We start from the raw sequence: 13802 nt of genomic DNA on the forward strand, positions 1-13802 counted from the left end.
GGTGCGATCTCGGCTCACTGCAACCTCCACCTCCCAGATTCAAGCAATTCTCCTGCCTCAGCCTCCTGAGTAGCTGGGATTACAGGCGCCTGCCACCACACCTAGCTAATTTTCGTATTTTTAGTAGAGACGGGGTTTCACCATGTTGGTCAGGTTGGTCTTGAACTCCTGACCTCGTGATCTGCCCTCCTCGGCCTCCCAAAGTGCTGGGATTATAGGTGTGAGCCACCGCATCCAGCCCGACATTTGTTTTTGTTTTATTTCTCTTTTTTTTTACACACAAAATATTTTGAGTAACCTTTTTCTCTTATTGCTCTTAAATAGATCCTCAGAGGCATAATTATCACAACACTAATGAAGCGTGGGCATCGTGGCCTCTCACTTGCACGAGCCCCTTCCGAGGCCCTGGAAGGCATGCACCCTTGCAATCCTGCGTTCATCATTTTGTGTTCTTTTTCTTAAATAGGGCTCCCCATAAAACTGGAATTCGCCTCTATGTTCCCTTATATACTCCCCACTTTTGTTCTCTCACACAGACCAGTAAAACACTCTTTGCCTTTTCTTTTCTTTGTGATGGGGTCTCCCTGTGTTGCCCAGGCAGGTCTCAATCTCCCGGGCTCAAGCAGTTTTCCTACCTCAGCCTCCCACGTAGCTGGGATTGCAGGCGCGTGCTGCTGTGCCCAGCGTACTCCCTTGCCTTTTCTCACCCATGTCACCGCAGACTGGGTCCCTTTTCACACGCCCTCGGTATCCATGCTGCTCTCACAGAGCGAGTGTTCATATTGACACAACACATTCTCCTTCCTCAGCGCACAACGCAGTCACTTTTCCTGGCCGCTTCTGGAGGGTGTCCTGCGCTGGGCTGATTTGATTAGGGGTTTTGGGTGCACCTAGAGCATGGCCCCAAGTTCAGCACCCCTTCCCTGGGCTGTTGTCCAACCCCACCTTGCTGCCATGGCTGGGAGTTTGCAAACCCTCCTCAGACTTGTTCATCAGAGCGGTTGCTAGCTCATCTCTCTTCATGGGCGGCAGGTCCTCTCCCATTTTGGGGAGTGAGGGTTTGATTTTGGGGAAGTGTTCCAATTTATTCAGAGGCCAGTCTGGTGAACAAGGTGACTCCGGCCACTGCTGTCTTCCATAAGAAGAGTTCTGTGTCCCCAGCCTCAGTCACTGATGTCTGTAGAGCTGGATTCCCAGCCCAGTTCTCCCATTTCCCCTACGGGGTCATTGTGAAGGTTAAGGGACCAGGTGGTGCTTGGGGTAAATGTTCACTCTCGTCCCCTCCTTCTCCTTTCCAAAGGGGCGTTCTAGGAAGGCCCAGCTACAAGGCAGCCTCCCCGAAGCCGTCTGTTGGCCTCCTAAGGCTTTGCAGGAAGCACAGTGGGACTCACTGCTTTTCACATCAGTCCCGCTATTTTTGCCCCACTCCTCCTACGCTGTGTTGGTGCACGTGTGCTTCATGTGCTTAGCACGTCCTGAGAGCCCTAAGTGAATTGGGACAGGTGGGTTGGCCCCAGCTTGCAGAGGACCTTAAGATGTCTACGGCCGGGCGCGGTGGCTCATGCCTGTAATCCCAGCACTTTGGGAGGCCAAGGCAGGCGGATCATGAGGTCAGGAGATCCCGACCATCCCGGCTAACATGGTGAAACCCTGTCTCTACTAAAAATACAAAAAATTAGCCAGGCGTGGTGGCGGGCGCTTGTAGTCCCAGCTACTCTGGAGGCTGAGGCAGGAGAATGGCGTGAACCCGGGAGGTGGAGGTTGCAGTGAGCCGAGATTGGGCCACTGCACTCCAGCCTGGGCGACACAGCGAGACTCTGTCTGGAAAAAAAAAAAGATGTCTTAGGACCGCATGACCTATGAAAGGTAGAGTTGATGCTGGAAGAGGGTAGGCTGGAGGCAGGAGGCCAGGAAGGTAGTGATGGGGTCTTTAGTGGGGGCAACAGAGGAGACAGACACTGCAGCAGTATGGGGAGGGAGGGCAGGTCTGGGGCCCAGACAGTGGGGAGGCAAGTGAGAGGTGGGCTGGTGAGCCCCGATGTCACAACTGGGGACACCTTCCACACGCATGTGCATACACAGCCCTCCTGGCGTTGCGCCTCTGCCCACCTCTCACGCACTAGCCTAGGCCACTCTTTCCTGCCCAGGTGCTGGCAGCATCTCCAGGCAACGGAAAGATCTCCCCAGCCCTGCATCCGATGCCTTCCTGCCAAGCAGCCTTGGGCGAGTCCTTGCGCCACTCTGAGCGTCTGTTTTTCCCTCTGTGGAATGAAGGACTGGGAGACAAAGCCCAGCTTCCCTTCCAGCCTGGCCATTGAGCCCATTGGAGAGATGAACCTCAGTTCTCCTGGGCTGATGCCCTCTTTCATACTGAGGGAGCATTAGCCACAGGAGGGAGCAGGTGCCCAGACCCCACCTAGAATGATTTGTTGAGTCCAGCATGAGGGACTGACAGGCTCAGTGAAGACCTGGCATTGGGTGGGGCGTGTGTTATGTGGGATTGGGCAGGGGAGGGGCCTGAGGTGGACTCCCGGTGCCTCAGTGTCTGTGGACCTGTGGTCTCGGATTTGGTTTGATGGGGCGTGGTCCTTCCCAAGGCCTGTTCTAGGTGTTAATTCCCTGACAACACTCATACTTCCTGCCTTTTCCTGCCTGCTCCTGTCCCTGGCACTCCTGCTGCAGCAGCCCCTGCACCATCCTCTCCTCCTGGCCTTCAGCTGCAGCTGGAGCCTTCCCCCGCTCTGCCTTGGCCAGAGTCTGATTTTCCTCTTGTCCTTTTCCAGTCCTGGGGGCCTCCTAGGCCCAAGTGTGGCTCCTCCCTCCTTCCCCTCATGTAACTGAGAAAGGGCTTGGAATGCCTGCTTTCCTTTAGGAGAGGGCTGGTTTTTTCAGCAGAGGATGGCTGTTTTTTTCAGCAGCAGGGACTGGGGCTAGGTCCAGGGCCAGAGGTAGAGCTGGAACTGAGCTGGGCTAGGACTGGCTTGGGGCTGGGGCTGTCTGGGTTGGGGCTGGAGCTGGGGCTGTGGCTGGAAGTGGGGCTGGAACTGGGGCCAGGCTGGAGGTGGGGCTGGGGTCAGTCTGCTCTTTCTCAACACCTGTACCTGGCAAAACCTGGCTGTCTGGCCCCAAGGAACATGCAGGTCCTTCCATCAGAACTGGAAGGCCTGCATGGCAATGATTTAGGAGAAGAAAACCGCAGTCTGTTCACCCTAGTCCACAAGGTGATGGCTGAGGTCTGAGTTGGAGGAGTAGCTCTGGACCTCCATGAAGCTGGGACCGCCGGGCTCACCCAGGCCTCGTGTTTTCTTTTCCTGATAGGTCGACACTACCCCTAAAGCAAGAAGAATATGAGGTGAGTGTCAGCTGCCAGGCTGAGCAAAGGTGAAGGGCGGAGATGTGCAGGGGAGAGGCGTGGGCCGGGTGCCAGAGCTGGGGCCAGAGGTCATGAGCCCCCTACACACCTTGCCCCCAACAGGCCTTTCTGCTCAAGCTGGTGCAGAATCTGTTTGCTGAGGGCAATGATCTGTTCCGGGAGAAGGACTATAAGCAGGCTCTGGTGCAGTACATGGAAGGGCTGAACGTGGCCGACTACGCTGCCTCTGACCAGGTGGCCCTGCCCCGGGAGCTGCTGTGCAAGCTGCATGTCAATAGGGCCGCCTGCTACTTCACCATGGTGAGCCTGGCACCCTCTTTTCTCTCCTCCTCTGCTGCCCTGATCCCCTGGATGCCCAGTCGAGCCAGGCCCATACCCCAGTGAGCCTGTAGACCAGGGCCAGCCTCCTCCCAGCCTGCTTTCAGAATTTCATTGTCTGTTCTCGTGGCTCTTAATCTCAACTGTACAACATGCTCAGCTGGAGAGCTTTTAAAAGTACGGATGCATAATAAAAAGTTTTTAAAAAAAATGATACTGATGCCCTAGCCCTAGCCCTGCCCTAGATGAAGTAAGTTAGAATCTTGGGGTGACCCTGGGCCTTGGTGGGAGTCTGACTTCTCCTGCTCCTCCCTCCCGGCCCCACTGTTTCTTCCATAGCCTCAGCCTCCTCACTGTTCCTTCCATAGCCTCAGCCTCCTCACTGTTCCTCCCATAGCCTCAGCCTCCTCACTGTTCCTCCCATAGCCTCAGCCTCCTCACTGTTTCTTCCGTAGCCTCCTCACTGTTCCTCCCATAGCCTCAGCCTCCTCACTGTTTCTTCCATAGCCTCCTCACTGTTTCTTCCATAGCCTCCTCACTGTTCCTCCCATAGTCTCAGCCTCCTCACTGTTCCTCCCATAGCCTCAGCCTCCTCACTGTTCCTCCCATAGCCTCAGCCTCCTCACTGTTTCTCCCATAGCCTCAGCCTCCTGTTTCTTTGCGGACTTCAGTGCCTTCCTCCTCCTCCTCCTCTCCTCCTTAGAGCTGCAGCCTCCTCCTCTTCCCTGTCCTGTGCACCCACTGACTCAGGTTCATGAGATCCTGTGGGAGGCTCTGCTGCAGGCTCTCTAGAGGACCCCATGACACCTCTGCCATCCAGCGAACTCTTCTGGATAAATGGCTCCTGGATGCCTCAGGGTTAACCCTTGTACACTCTGCACACAGAGCTGCCTTCATGGTCTCACTGCCTCTTAGAGATGCCATTGTTACTCTCAGCTCATCATGTTCCCAACCAAAGGCAGAGATGGAAATAGACGTGCTTGAGTGGCCGGGCTCATGGTTGTAGATCTTCAGGCCCTTCCCTGCAATATCCTGCCCGTGCCCACTGCAGCCCCATCAGCTGGACACACAGACACCCTTGATCAGAGTCTGGACACCAGAGTGCTTCCTTCTCTCCTGGAGCCTCGAGCCCTGTCCCTGACCCAAGACTTCAGCTCCTCTGTCTCTGCCAGGAAGGGAAGCTGGTGTTCCTTCCTAGGCAGGGGCAGGAGGCCTGGGGGAGGGAGGGTAACAGGTGTTGACCAGTGACCACATGCTCCTCTCTGGCAGGGCCTGTATGAGAAGGCGCTGGAGGACAGCGAGAAGGCGCTGGGCCTGGACAGTGAGAGTATCCGGGCGTTGTTCCGCAAGGCACGCGCTCTCAATGAACTGGGACGCCACAAGGAGGCCTACGAGTGCAGCAGCCGGTGTTCCCTCGCCCTGCCCCACGTGAGTGTGGCTCTGCAGCCACGCCGGTGCCTGCTCAGAGGCCAGGCTTCTGACCTTCCGGCCCTCACTTGGGCCCAGCCACCACATCCTTCTGTGTCTCACTTCCTCCCCTGTGACATGGCCATGCAGATCCTGATGTTAACACTAGCTCCCATTCTCTGAGCGCTGACTGGGTGCCAGGCACTGCTAGGATGCATTGTGTGTATTAACTCACCTAATACTGGCAATAACCCTAAGAGGCAGATACTGTGATTATTCTCATTTTAAAGATGATGAGGCCAGACACAGTGGCTCACGCCTGTAATCTCAGCACTTTCGGAGGCTGAGGCAGGCGGATCACCTGAGGTCAGGAGTTTGAGACCAGCCTGGCCAACATGGCAAAACCCCATCTCTACAAAAAATACAAAATTTAGCCGGGCATGATGGCGTGTGCCTGTTTTGCTAATTCTGTTTAGTTCACAATTAAGACCCTTTCTTGGCCAGACACAGTGGCTCATGCCTGTAATCCCAGCACTGTGGGAGGCCAAGGCGGGAGGATCACTTGAGCTCAGGAGTTTGCAACTAGCCTGAGCAACATAGCAAGACCCTGTTTCAACAAAAAATTAAAAAAAAATTAGCTGGGCATGATGGCACGCACCTGAGATCCCAGCTACTCAGGAGGCTGAGGTGGGAGGATCACTTGAGCCCAGGAGGTGGAGGTTGCAGTGAGCTGTGATTGCACCATTGCACTTCAGCCTGAGTTTGACAAAGCAAGAGCTTGTCTATTAAAAAAAAAAAAAGCCTTTCTTTATGACCATGGTCCCCTGACCCATATAGCATTTTAGAGTGTCCACAACAGATCCACACCTAGGTCTCACTGGTACTTACTCATGAGGAGGACAGGGCAGGTTTCATCCGCACCACAGCGGATAGAAAGGAGCTGGGACCCAGTTAGGGTTAGTAAATGGCCAGGGAAAGTAACTAAGGGCTCCTGGCTCTGCTTTAGGGAACTCTCTCTTTTCCCAATCTTTGTTGGGCAAATACTGACCGAGCTCCTGCTCCATGCTGGGCACTGGGGACCAGAGATGACTCCGACCCAGGCCCTGGCCTCTAGGAGATTGTCAGTGAGGTAGGAGGTAGACACGTGCACAGATGTCACAGTGTCTTCCTTGCCCTTTTGTGCCTGGACCCCAGTTTGTAGCCACCTGTTTCTTTGTTCACTGACTGTTCTCCCCCTTTAGATTGGAATCTCCATGAGGCCTGGGCCCATCTGCCCTGTTCGCTGGGGTATCCTTAGCCCCTCACTCTTGCTTGGCACGTAGTGTATGTTCTGTATTACAGCCTTGGAAGGGAAGGAAGGATGGTTGCTGTTTAGTGATCACTAAGTGTGGTCCAGGCACTGTTACAAGCTTTCTATGCCCTGCCTCCTTGGAGCCTTACAACCCTGTGCCTCATGTATGTATCGTCACTTGCTGGGGGTTGCAGGAGATTGTTTGGCGATAGAAACAAGTTGTAGAACTATATAATGTGACCTCATTCCTGTTTAAAAAAAGAAAGAGATGGCCGGGCACAGTGGCTCACGCCTGTAATCCCAACACTTTGGGAGGCCGAGGCGGGTGGATCACTTGAGGTCAGGAGTTCAAGACCAGCCTGGCCAACATGGTGAAACCCTGTCTCTACTAAAATACAAAAAAAAAAAAAAAAAAAAAAAAATTAGCTGGGCATGGTGGCACATGCCTGTAATCCCAGCTACGCGAAGGCTGAGGCAGGAGAATCTCTTGAACTCAGGAGGCAAAGGTTGTAGTGAGCTGAGATCGCGCCACTGCACTCCACCCTGGGTGACTGAGCAAGACTCCATCTCAAAAAATCAAAAAGAAAGAGACAATCCCCAAATCCCCACAAAACAAAACTAAGCTTTTTTTTTTTTTTTTTTGAGACAGGGTCTTGCTCTGTCGTCCAGGCTGGAGTGCAGCGGCGCAGTCTTGGCTCACTGCAACCACTGCCTCCTGAGTTCAAGCGATTCTCCTGCCTCAGCCTCCCAGGTAGCTGGGATTACAGGCACCCACCACCATGCCCGGCTAATTTTTCTATTTTTGGTAGAGATGGGGTTTCACCATGTTGGCCAGGCTGGTCTTGAACTCCTGACCTCAGGTGATCCGCCCACCTCTGCCTCCCAAAGTGCTGGGATTACAGGCATGAGCCACTGTGCCCAGCCAGAAGTAAGCATTCTTTATAGGTCTGCATGCATGCATTCCTAGAAAAGAGCCCTAAGGAAACACATCAGCCCAGCAGAGTGTGATTCCCTCCTGGAGAAGCCTAGGGTGAAGGGGGAGATCCAGGGAGCACTTGCTGTCCCTGTAACATTCTTCCCTTCTACAGTGACATTGTCACTTTTGCTGAATTTTAGAAATAAAAAGATTATATTAAAATAAAAACAAAATGATTCATTTTCCATCCCCAAATAAAAGGAAAAACAGAAGCATGGGATGGTGGTCCTGGTGCCACCACTCACTAGCTGTGTGACTTGGACAAGCCAGGGACACCTCCTGGGGCCTCACTTTCTCATCTATAACATGGGGTGACTATGACCTCCCTCCGTAGGGCTGCACAGGTGTCCAGGAGCACAGCTTTGTGAGCCCGGGCAGACTGACCCACCGCCCTGTGTCTTGTCCTCTGCAGGATGAAAGCGTGACTCAGCTTGGTCAGGAGCTGGCCCAGAAACTGGGGCTGCGAGTTCGCAAGGCGTATAAGAGGCCCCAGGTAGGTGGGTTCGGGACCCTGGGAGGGTCGGTGTGGACGTGAGGAGGTCTGAAGGGAGGGACCAGGCTCCGTGGGGAAGGTGGGTGAGGGTGGCCAGGGCTGGGTTAGGACAGAGGGGAGTGACAGCAGGTGATCTTCCTTGTCTGTTGGCTGAAAGCCCTGGAACCTTTCGGAAAAGGAGAGAGCAGCCACCGCTTCTAGCTCACTTTAGACTCCAACTGTTGAAAACCACTCCCTCCCCTGTGCTGGCTGACTTTAGTCACCTGGAGGTGGCCTGAGTTGACACTGGCGTCCTTCAGCATTATGTTCTCAACACCCATATGGTGCAAATTTGAAGTGTTGGTATCTGTTTGGCTGGTTCAGTTCCACATAGATTCATTTGGTACCTGCCGAGGGCCAGGAGGCTGCACAAGGGAAACTCGTGACTCGAGTCTCTGCTGTGACCTTGAGCAAGTTAGTTCATCTCTTTCCACCTTGGTTTCCTCATCTGGACGATGGAGATAATTTATGCCCACCCCAGAGGGCTCATGGGAGGATTAAAAAGAGAGAATGGATGGGCTGGACGCAGTGCCTCATGCCTGTAATCCCAGCACGTTGGGAGGCCAAGGCGGGCAGATCACCTGAGGTCAGGAGTTTGAGACCAGCCTGATCAACATGTAGAAACCCCATCTCTACTAAAAATACAAAAATTAGCTTGGGGTGGTGGCACATGCCTGTAATCCCAGCTACTCGGGAGGCTGAGGCAGGAGAATCACTTTTTTTTTTTTTTTTTTTTGAGACGGACTCTCGCTCTGTCACCCAGGCTGTAGTGCTGGAGTGCAGTGGCGCGATCTCAGCTCACTGCAAGCTCCGCCTCCCGGGTTCACGCCATTCTTCTGCCTCGGCCTCTCCGAGTAGCTGGGATTACAGGCGCCCGCCACCACGCCCGGCTAATTTTTTATATTTTTAGTAGAGATGGGGTTTCACCGTGGTCTCGATCTCCTGACCTCGTGATCCGCCCGCCTCAGCCTCCCAAAGTGCTGGGATTACAAGCGTGAGCCACCGCGCCCAGCTGAGAATCACTTGAACCCGGGAGGCGGAGGTTGCGGTGAGCCAAGATCGCACCATTGCACTCCAGCCTGGGCAACGAGCGAAACTCTGTCTCAAAAAAAATAAATAAATAAAAGGCCGGGCGCGGTGGCTCATGCCTGTAATCCCAGCACTTTGGGAGGCCGCGGTGGGAGGATCACGAGGTCAGGAGATCGAGACCAGACCATCCTGGCTAACGCAGTGAAAGCCTGTCTCTACTAAAAATACGAAAAAATTAGCGGGGGTGGTAGCGAGCGCCTGTAGTCCCAGCTACTCTGAAGGCTGAGGCAGGAGAATGGTGTGAACCCAGGAGGCGGGACTTGCAGTGAGCAGAGATCGTGCCACTGCACTCCAGCCTGGGCAACAGAGCGAGACTCTGCCTCAAAAAAAAAAAAAAAAAAAAAGAGAGAGCAAATGGGCCGGGTGCAGTGGTTCATGCCTATAATCGTAGTACTTTGGGAGGCCGAGGTGGGCAGGTTGCTTGAGCTCAGGAGTTCAAGACCAGCCTGGGCAACATGGCGAAACCGTATCTCTACAAAAAGTACAAAAATTAGCCTGGTGTGGTGGTGCATGCCTGTAGTCTCAGCTACTTGGGAGGCTGAGGTGGGAGGATCACATGAACCCCAGAGGTCAAGGCTGCAGAGAGCCGAGATTGCATCCAGCCTAGGGGACAAAGTGAGACTCTGTCTCAGAAAAAATTTAAAAATTAACAAATAAAAAAATAGAATGTTTGAGATGGTGCCTAGCATGGTGCCTGACACACAGTAGAGGTGTGCAGGGAGGTCCTCTGCCCAGGTCAAGGTTGGAAGAAGAAAACCCCAGAATCTGACCCAGAGAGACAGAGCAGTTGATTTCCGGCAGGCCTGGGGACAGGGACTCTCGGGGGCGCTGCAGACCCCAGCTGCTTGTGTCAGGGCCTCTTTGCTGCCCCAGCTAAGGGGACCTTGAGCATCTTTTCAGAATCTTTACCTCTGCCCACCTCTCTCCAATCTCTGGCAGGAATTGGAAACCTTTTCTCTGCTCAGTAACGGCACTGCGGCTGGCGTGGCAGATCAGGTAGGATCGGGGCTGAACCAACCTGTCTCAGTTTATCCATTATGAGAGGTTTGGATTCACTCTCTCCGGGTATAAATGACCTCAGGCAGTGGGTCCAGGGGCCTCCGCCTCCCTAGGAGGTACCTCCCGTGTCCACGGGGGCAGGATGTGGGGACAGGCCATGGCTGCTGTTGGCAGGGAGTGGTCATTGCCGGGGAGCCGCCGGGGGCAGCCTCACTCTTGAACCCTGGCCAGGACACAGTCTGGGCAGCCTGGTCCCACACGCCTTCCTTCTGCCTCCTGCCCCACATTTCCTGCTGTGTTGCCTTTTTTCTCACCAGCCTTTCTGCAGGTTCAGGCCCCTGGGCCTCAAATGTCTTCCTCTTCCCCACCCTGCCTTTCTCTGTCTTTTCGCTTTTCAAAGCCCAGCTCAAGGGCATGCCCCTGCCGAAACCCATCCTGCTCTCCCTGGCTCAGTGACTCTGCTTGGGAGGGGCAGCCGAGACTGAGGACTCTGACAAGGAAGAGCCCAACTGGGCCCTGCAGCCTTGGGCAGGTCCTTCAGTTTCTGCATTCTGAAATGCGGACCATCCCTCAACGGGAACAAGGGAGGAAAGTGCTTGATAACCTGGCACACACGACCCAGCAGGAAATGCAGTGGGCAGTCACTGTGGATAGCTGCTGTGCTGTCCTGAGTTGGGGACTCCTCCCAAGGGCCAAGACACTTGTGCACCCCAGTCAGGCCTGGCTCATCCCAGGGGGGTGAGGCAGGGCCTGGCACACGACTGAGACCCCTGCCCGCTGCTCAGGTAGACTTTGAGGCTTTCTGGAAAGTGAGAGATGGGCTATAAGAGCACTGATGGAGCCTGGGGTCCTGCCACCTTGTACATTAAGGGAAACTGAGGCACAGAGTGGGGAGGGGACGGGGCCAGTGTCACACAGCGAGGCAGCAGCAGGCCTCCCTCCTCCAGAGCTTTGCAGCACTTTCTTTCATTCATTCCATAAGGAGGCCCACAAAACACTCTCGGCCCTGGGCCTGAGAGAGCTGCGTCCTTGCCCTCAGGGACCTCCCAGCCTGCAAAGTAGGCAGTTGATGATCTGCCTTTGTAGCACTCATGGTTTATAATCAGAAATTATAGGTCAGGCATGGTGGCTCATGCCTGTAATCCCAGCAATTTGGGAGGCCGAGGTGGGTGATCACTTAATTTCGGGAGTTAAAGACCAGCCTGGCCAACATAATGAAACCCCATCCCTGCCAAAAATACAAAAATTAGCCGGGCATGGTGGCATGTGCCTGTAGTTCCAGCTACTTGGGAGGCTGAGGCAGGAGAATCACTTGAACCCAGGAGGCACAGTTTGCAGTGAGCCGAGATCGCGCCATTACACTCCAGCCTGAGAGACAGAATGAGACTCCATCTGAAAAATAAAAGAAATTATTAGGCCTGGCACATACCAGGTGCTCCAACGAGAAAACATTAAATGAATGAAAGGTGATTTGTCTAAGTTTACCCAGTATGGGCCAAGCACTGAGCTTGGGGTTGGGTATGTGATAAACAAAACAAATCTGTTTCCTGCCCTCAAAGAGCTCACAGTCTAGGATGGACATTAGGACATTAGGCAGATCATTTCTGGTTTCAAACTGTGATGAGGGCTGTGAAGGCAGAGTATGGGGAGACCTGGGCCATTGAGACTGGGAGCCCTGATTTAGACAGGATTCAGTGACATTTAAGCTGAGACCGGAAGGTTGAAGAGTTAGGGGCAGGGTGTGCAGGTGAAACAGCATTCCAGACCAGGTGGAAGGTATGTGCAAAGGCCCTGAGGCCTGGAGGAGCTCAGAGTGTGGGAGGAACCAACACCAAGGCAGAGCTGGGGGTCCTGGAACAGGAGATAGAAGCCAGACCGCTTGACCCCTGATAAGAAGCTCAGTCTTAGCATTGGGAAGGCATTGAGGGGAGGCAGCATTAATTCTATTCATTTATTCGGAAGGTATTTATTGAGCACTGCTTTGTACCCAGTGTCAGTTCAGACACTGGGAATAGAGCACCAAGGTAGCGTCTCATCACAGCAAGTGGAGCTGGGCTGGGCAGGCACAGCAGATGCTCAAAAAATATTTGTTGAATGATTGAATGACTGCGGCCAGGGGGCCACAGCAAATATGGGCTGAATGCCCAGCTCTCCAGGGCCAAGGCCGCAAAGCCTTGCTTAGTCTGCAGCCAGATGACCACAGATGGTGCCATACCTGGCACCAGGCCCCCCCCAGTCCCTGCCAGGCTGTTCACCCATCCCTGCAATCTTGCTGGGCTCCTCCTGCACATTCATAGAGGTCAGGAGGGCATGGTTAGGGAGGGCTCTAAGAAGCCCACAGTGGAGAGGACCAGTTCAGACCCTGCCTCATGAACTCAGTTTGCCCAACATGGTACAGCACACATGTGAGCACACACATGTGCACATGCACAAACGGAGTGCCCTAGGACACATGAGGGCAGGGTGGTGTCCCAGCCAGAGCCCCTGGCCTTCCGTGAGTTGTGCACAGACACAAGTAAATGCAGGCTGCAGGGGTCCCTGTAGGTTCTCCACCATGAGCACCATATTCATTCAGCCGGCTGGTCATTTCACATGTGCACCTGGAAGTGGGGATGGACCAGGCTGTGCCCACAGGGAGCTTCTTATGACCTAGGAGCCAGGCAGAGGCCCTGCAAGACAGTGTCTGTGCAAGAGCTGTCCCTGGCATCGTGGGGAACAAGATGCAAGGAGGGCTGTGAGTTCCAGGAACAGAGAGCCCAAGGCAGCCTTGGTTGGAAAGGGCTTCAGCGAGCCAGGGAAGCAAGACTAAGAGGAAGGGAGAGCTGGAGAGGGGGAAATGGCACTCATGACCAGGAGCACAGCCTGCACAAAGGCTAAGCAGCAAAAGAGACAGACACCCCAGATCACAAGACCAGTTCCTCCTATGGGGCTCGGAATAGCCTGGGCTCTGCAGTGGAACGTGCTTTGGATCAGATCCTGAGCACGCTCCTTATCTACGCAGGCCACTCCACCCCTCAGAGCCTTGGCTTCCTTCTCTTTTGCAGGGGTCCGGTACCTGCCATTTTGTGGGGGTTATAGAATTACAATGGGTCAATGTGAAAGCTCCCAGCAGGGCGTCTGCAGAAGAGATAGAGCTCCATAGACCTTTGTTGCCAAACAGATGTCACCAGAAGGAGTGCCATGCAGAAGGGCAGGAACAGTGAGCCTGGCAGGCTGGGGTGATGGCATGGGCAGGAGGGCTGAGAAGGTGACTTTGTCCTGCGTGGCCTGGGAGCCATGGGCAGGATCTAGCAGGGAGAATCACCGCTTTCCCTAGAGATGTTCATCTGGTACCTCTCTTTCCCTCAAAGACTTTATGTACTTACCATGAGGATAGCAGCTCTGTGATCCAGCGTGGCGGCCTTGGTTTGGCAGCCAATCTATGGTGGGCAGACACTCCGGAGACTGAAGTGCACACATTTGCCATGTGCTCTATGGCAGGCTCAGGTGTGGGAAGGAGGTGCAGGGTGTTGGTGCAGGTATGGATGGGGGAGTGTACAGTTCCAGGGGACAGAGTCAGGACAGGCTCTTGGGTCAGACAGCCCTGCTCTGATCTGTGCATAGCAGCTTTCTGGGCTGACATTTCCATGCCGTGGGATGATACCTCGCAGGGCGCCTGGACCGAGGGCTAAACCCCACAGTGGGTGTGAGATGCTGGCCTGGGCTGGCGTGAGGCAGGATGCTGGATGAGTCTAGCTGCTGGTCCTGTGGCTGCTGGTCCTGGGAAAGGAAGGCTAGTGGTGGAGTCTGGTCCTCCATCCGGCTCTCCGTGGGGACA

General features: G+C 54.4%; 1 protein-coding gene across 2 annotated transcripts in view, besides 1 other annotated feature; it reads left to right on the forward strand.

The window, feature by feature from the left end:
• ZC3H7B (zinc finger CCCH-type containing 7B) overlaps positions 1-13802 on the forward strand; it is a 58623-nt gene that overhangs the window by 20721 nt on the left and 24100 nt on the right. For both annotated transcript variants that reach the window (XR_007067960.1, NM_017590.6), the window contains exons 3-7: positions 3319-3352; positions 3476-3673; positions 4961-5119; positions 7778-7858; positions 9926-9982. Coding sequence is in view for 1 of the 2 variants with exons in the window: in NM_017590.6 (NP_060060.3) it covers positions 3319-3352; positions 3476-3673; positions 4961-5119; positions 7778-7858; positions 9926-9982 (529 nt within the window). In the remaining variant the exon portion in view is untranslated. The remainder of the gene's footprint in view (positions 1-3318; positions 3353-3475; positions 3674-4960; positions 5120-7777; positions 7859-9925; positions 9983-13802) is intronic.
• Positions 1901-2401: an enhancer, noted in NCBI's record as "H3K27ac hESC enhancer chr22:41720150-41720650 (GRCh37/hg19 assembly coordinates)". NCBI's record gives its function as "activates a minimal SCP1, AML or CMV promoter by ChIP-STARR-seq in naive H9 embryonic stem cells {active_cell/tissue: H9 hESC(naive)}" and the evidence as "EXISTENCE:reporter gene assay evidence [ECO:0000049][PMID:30033119]".

The sequence above is a fragment of the Homo sapiens genome, chromosome 22 (genome assembly GCF_000001405.40).
Source record: "Homo sapiens chromosome 22, GRCh38.p14 Primary Assembly".
In the NCBI taxonomy this organism is placed as follows: domain Eukaryota; kingdom Metazoa; phylum Chordata; class Mammalia; order Primates; family Hominidae; genus Homo; species Homo sapiens.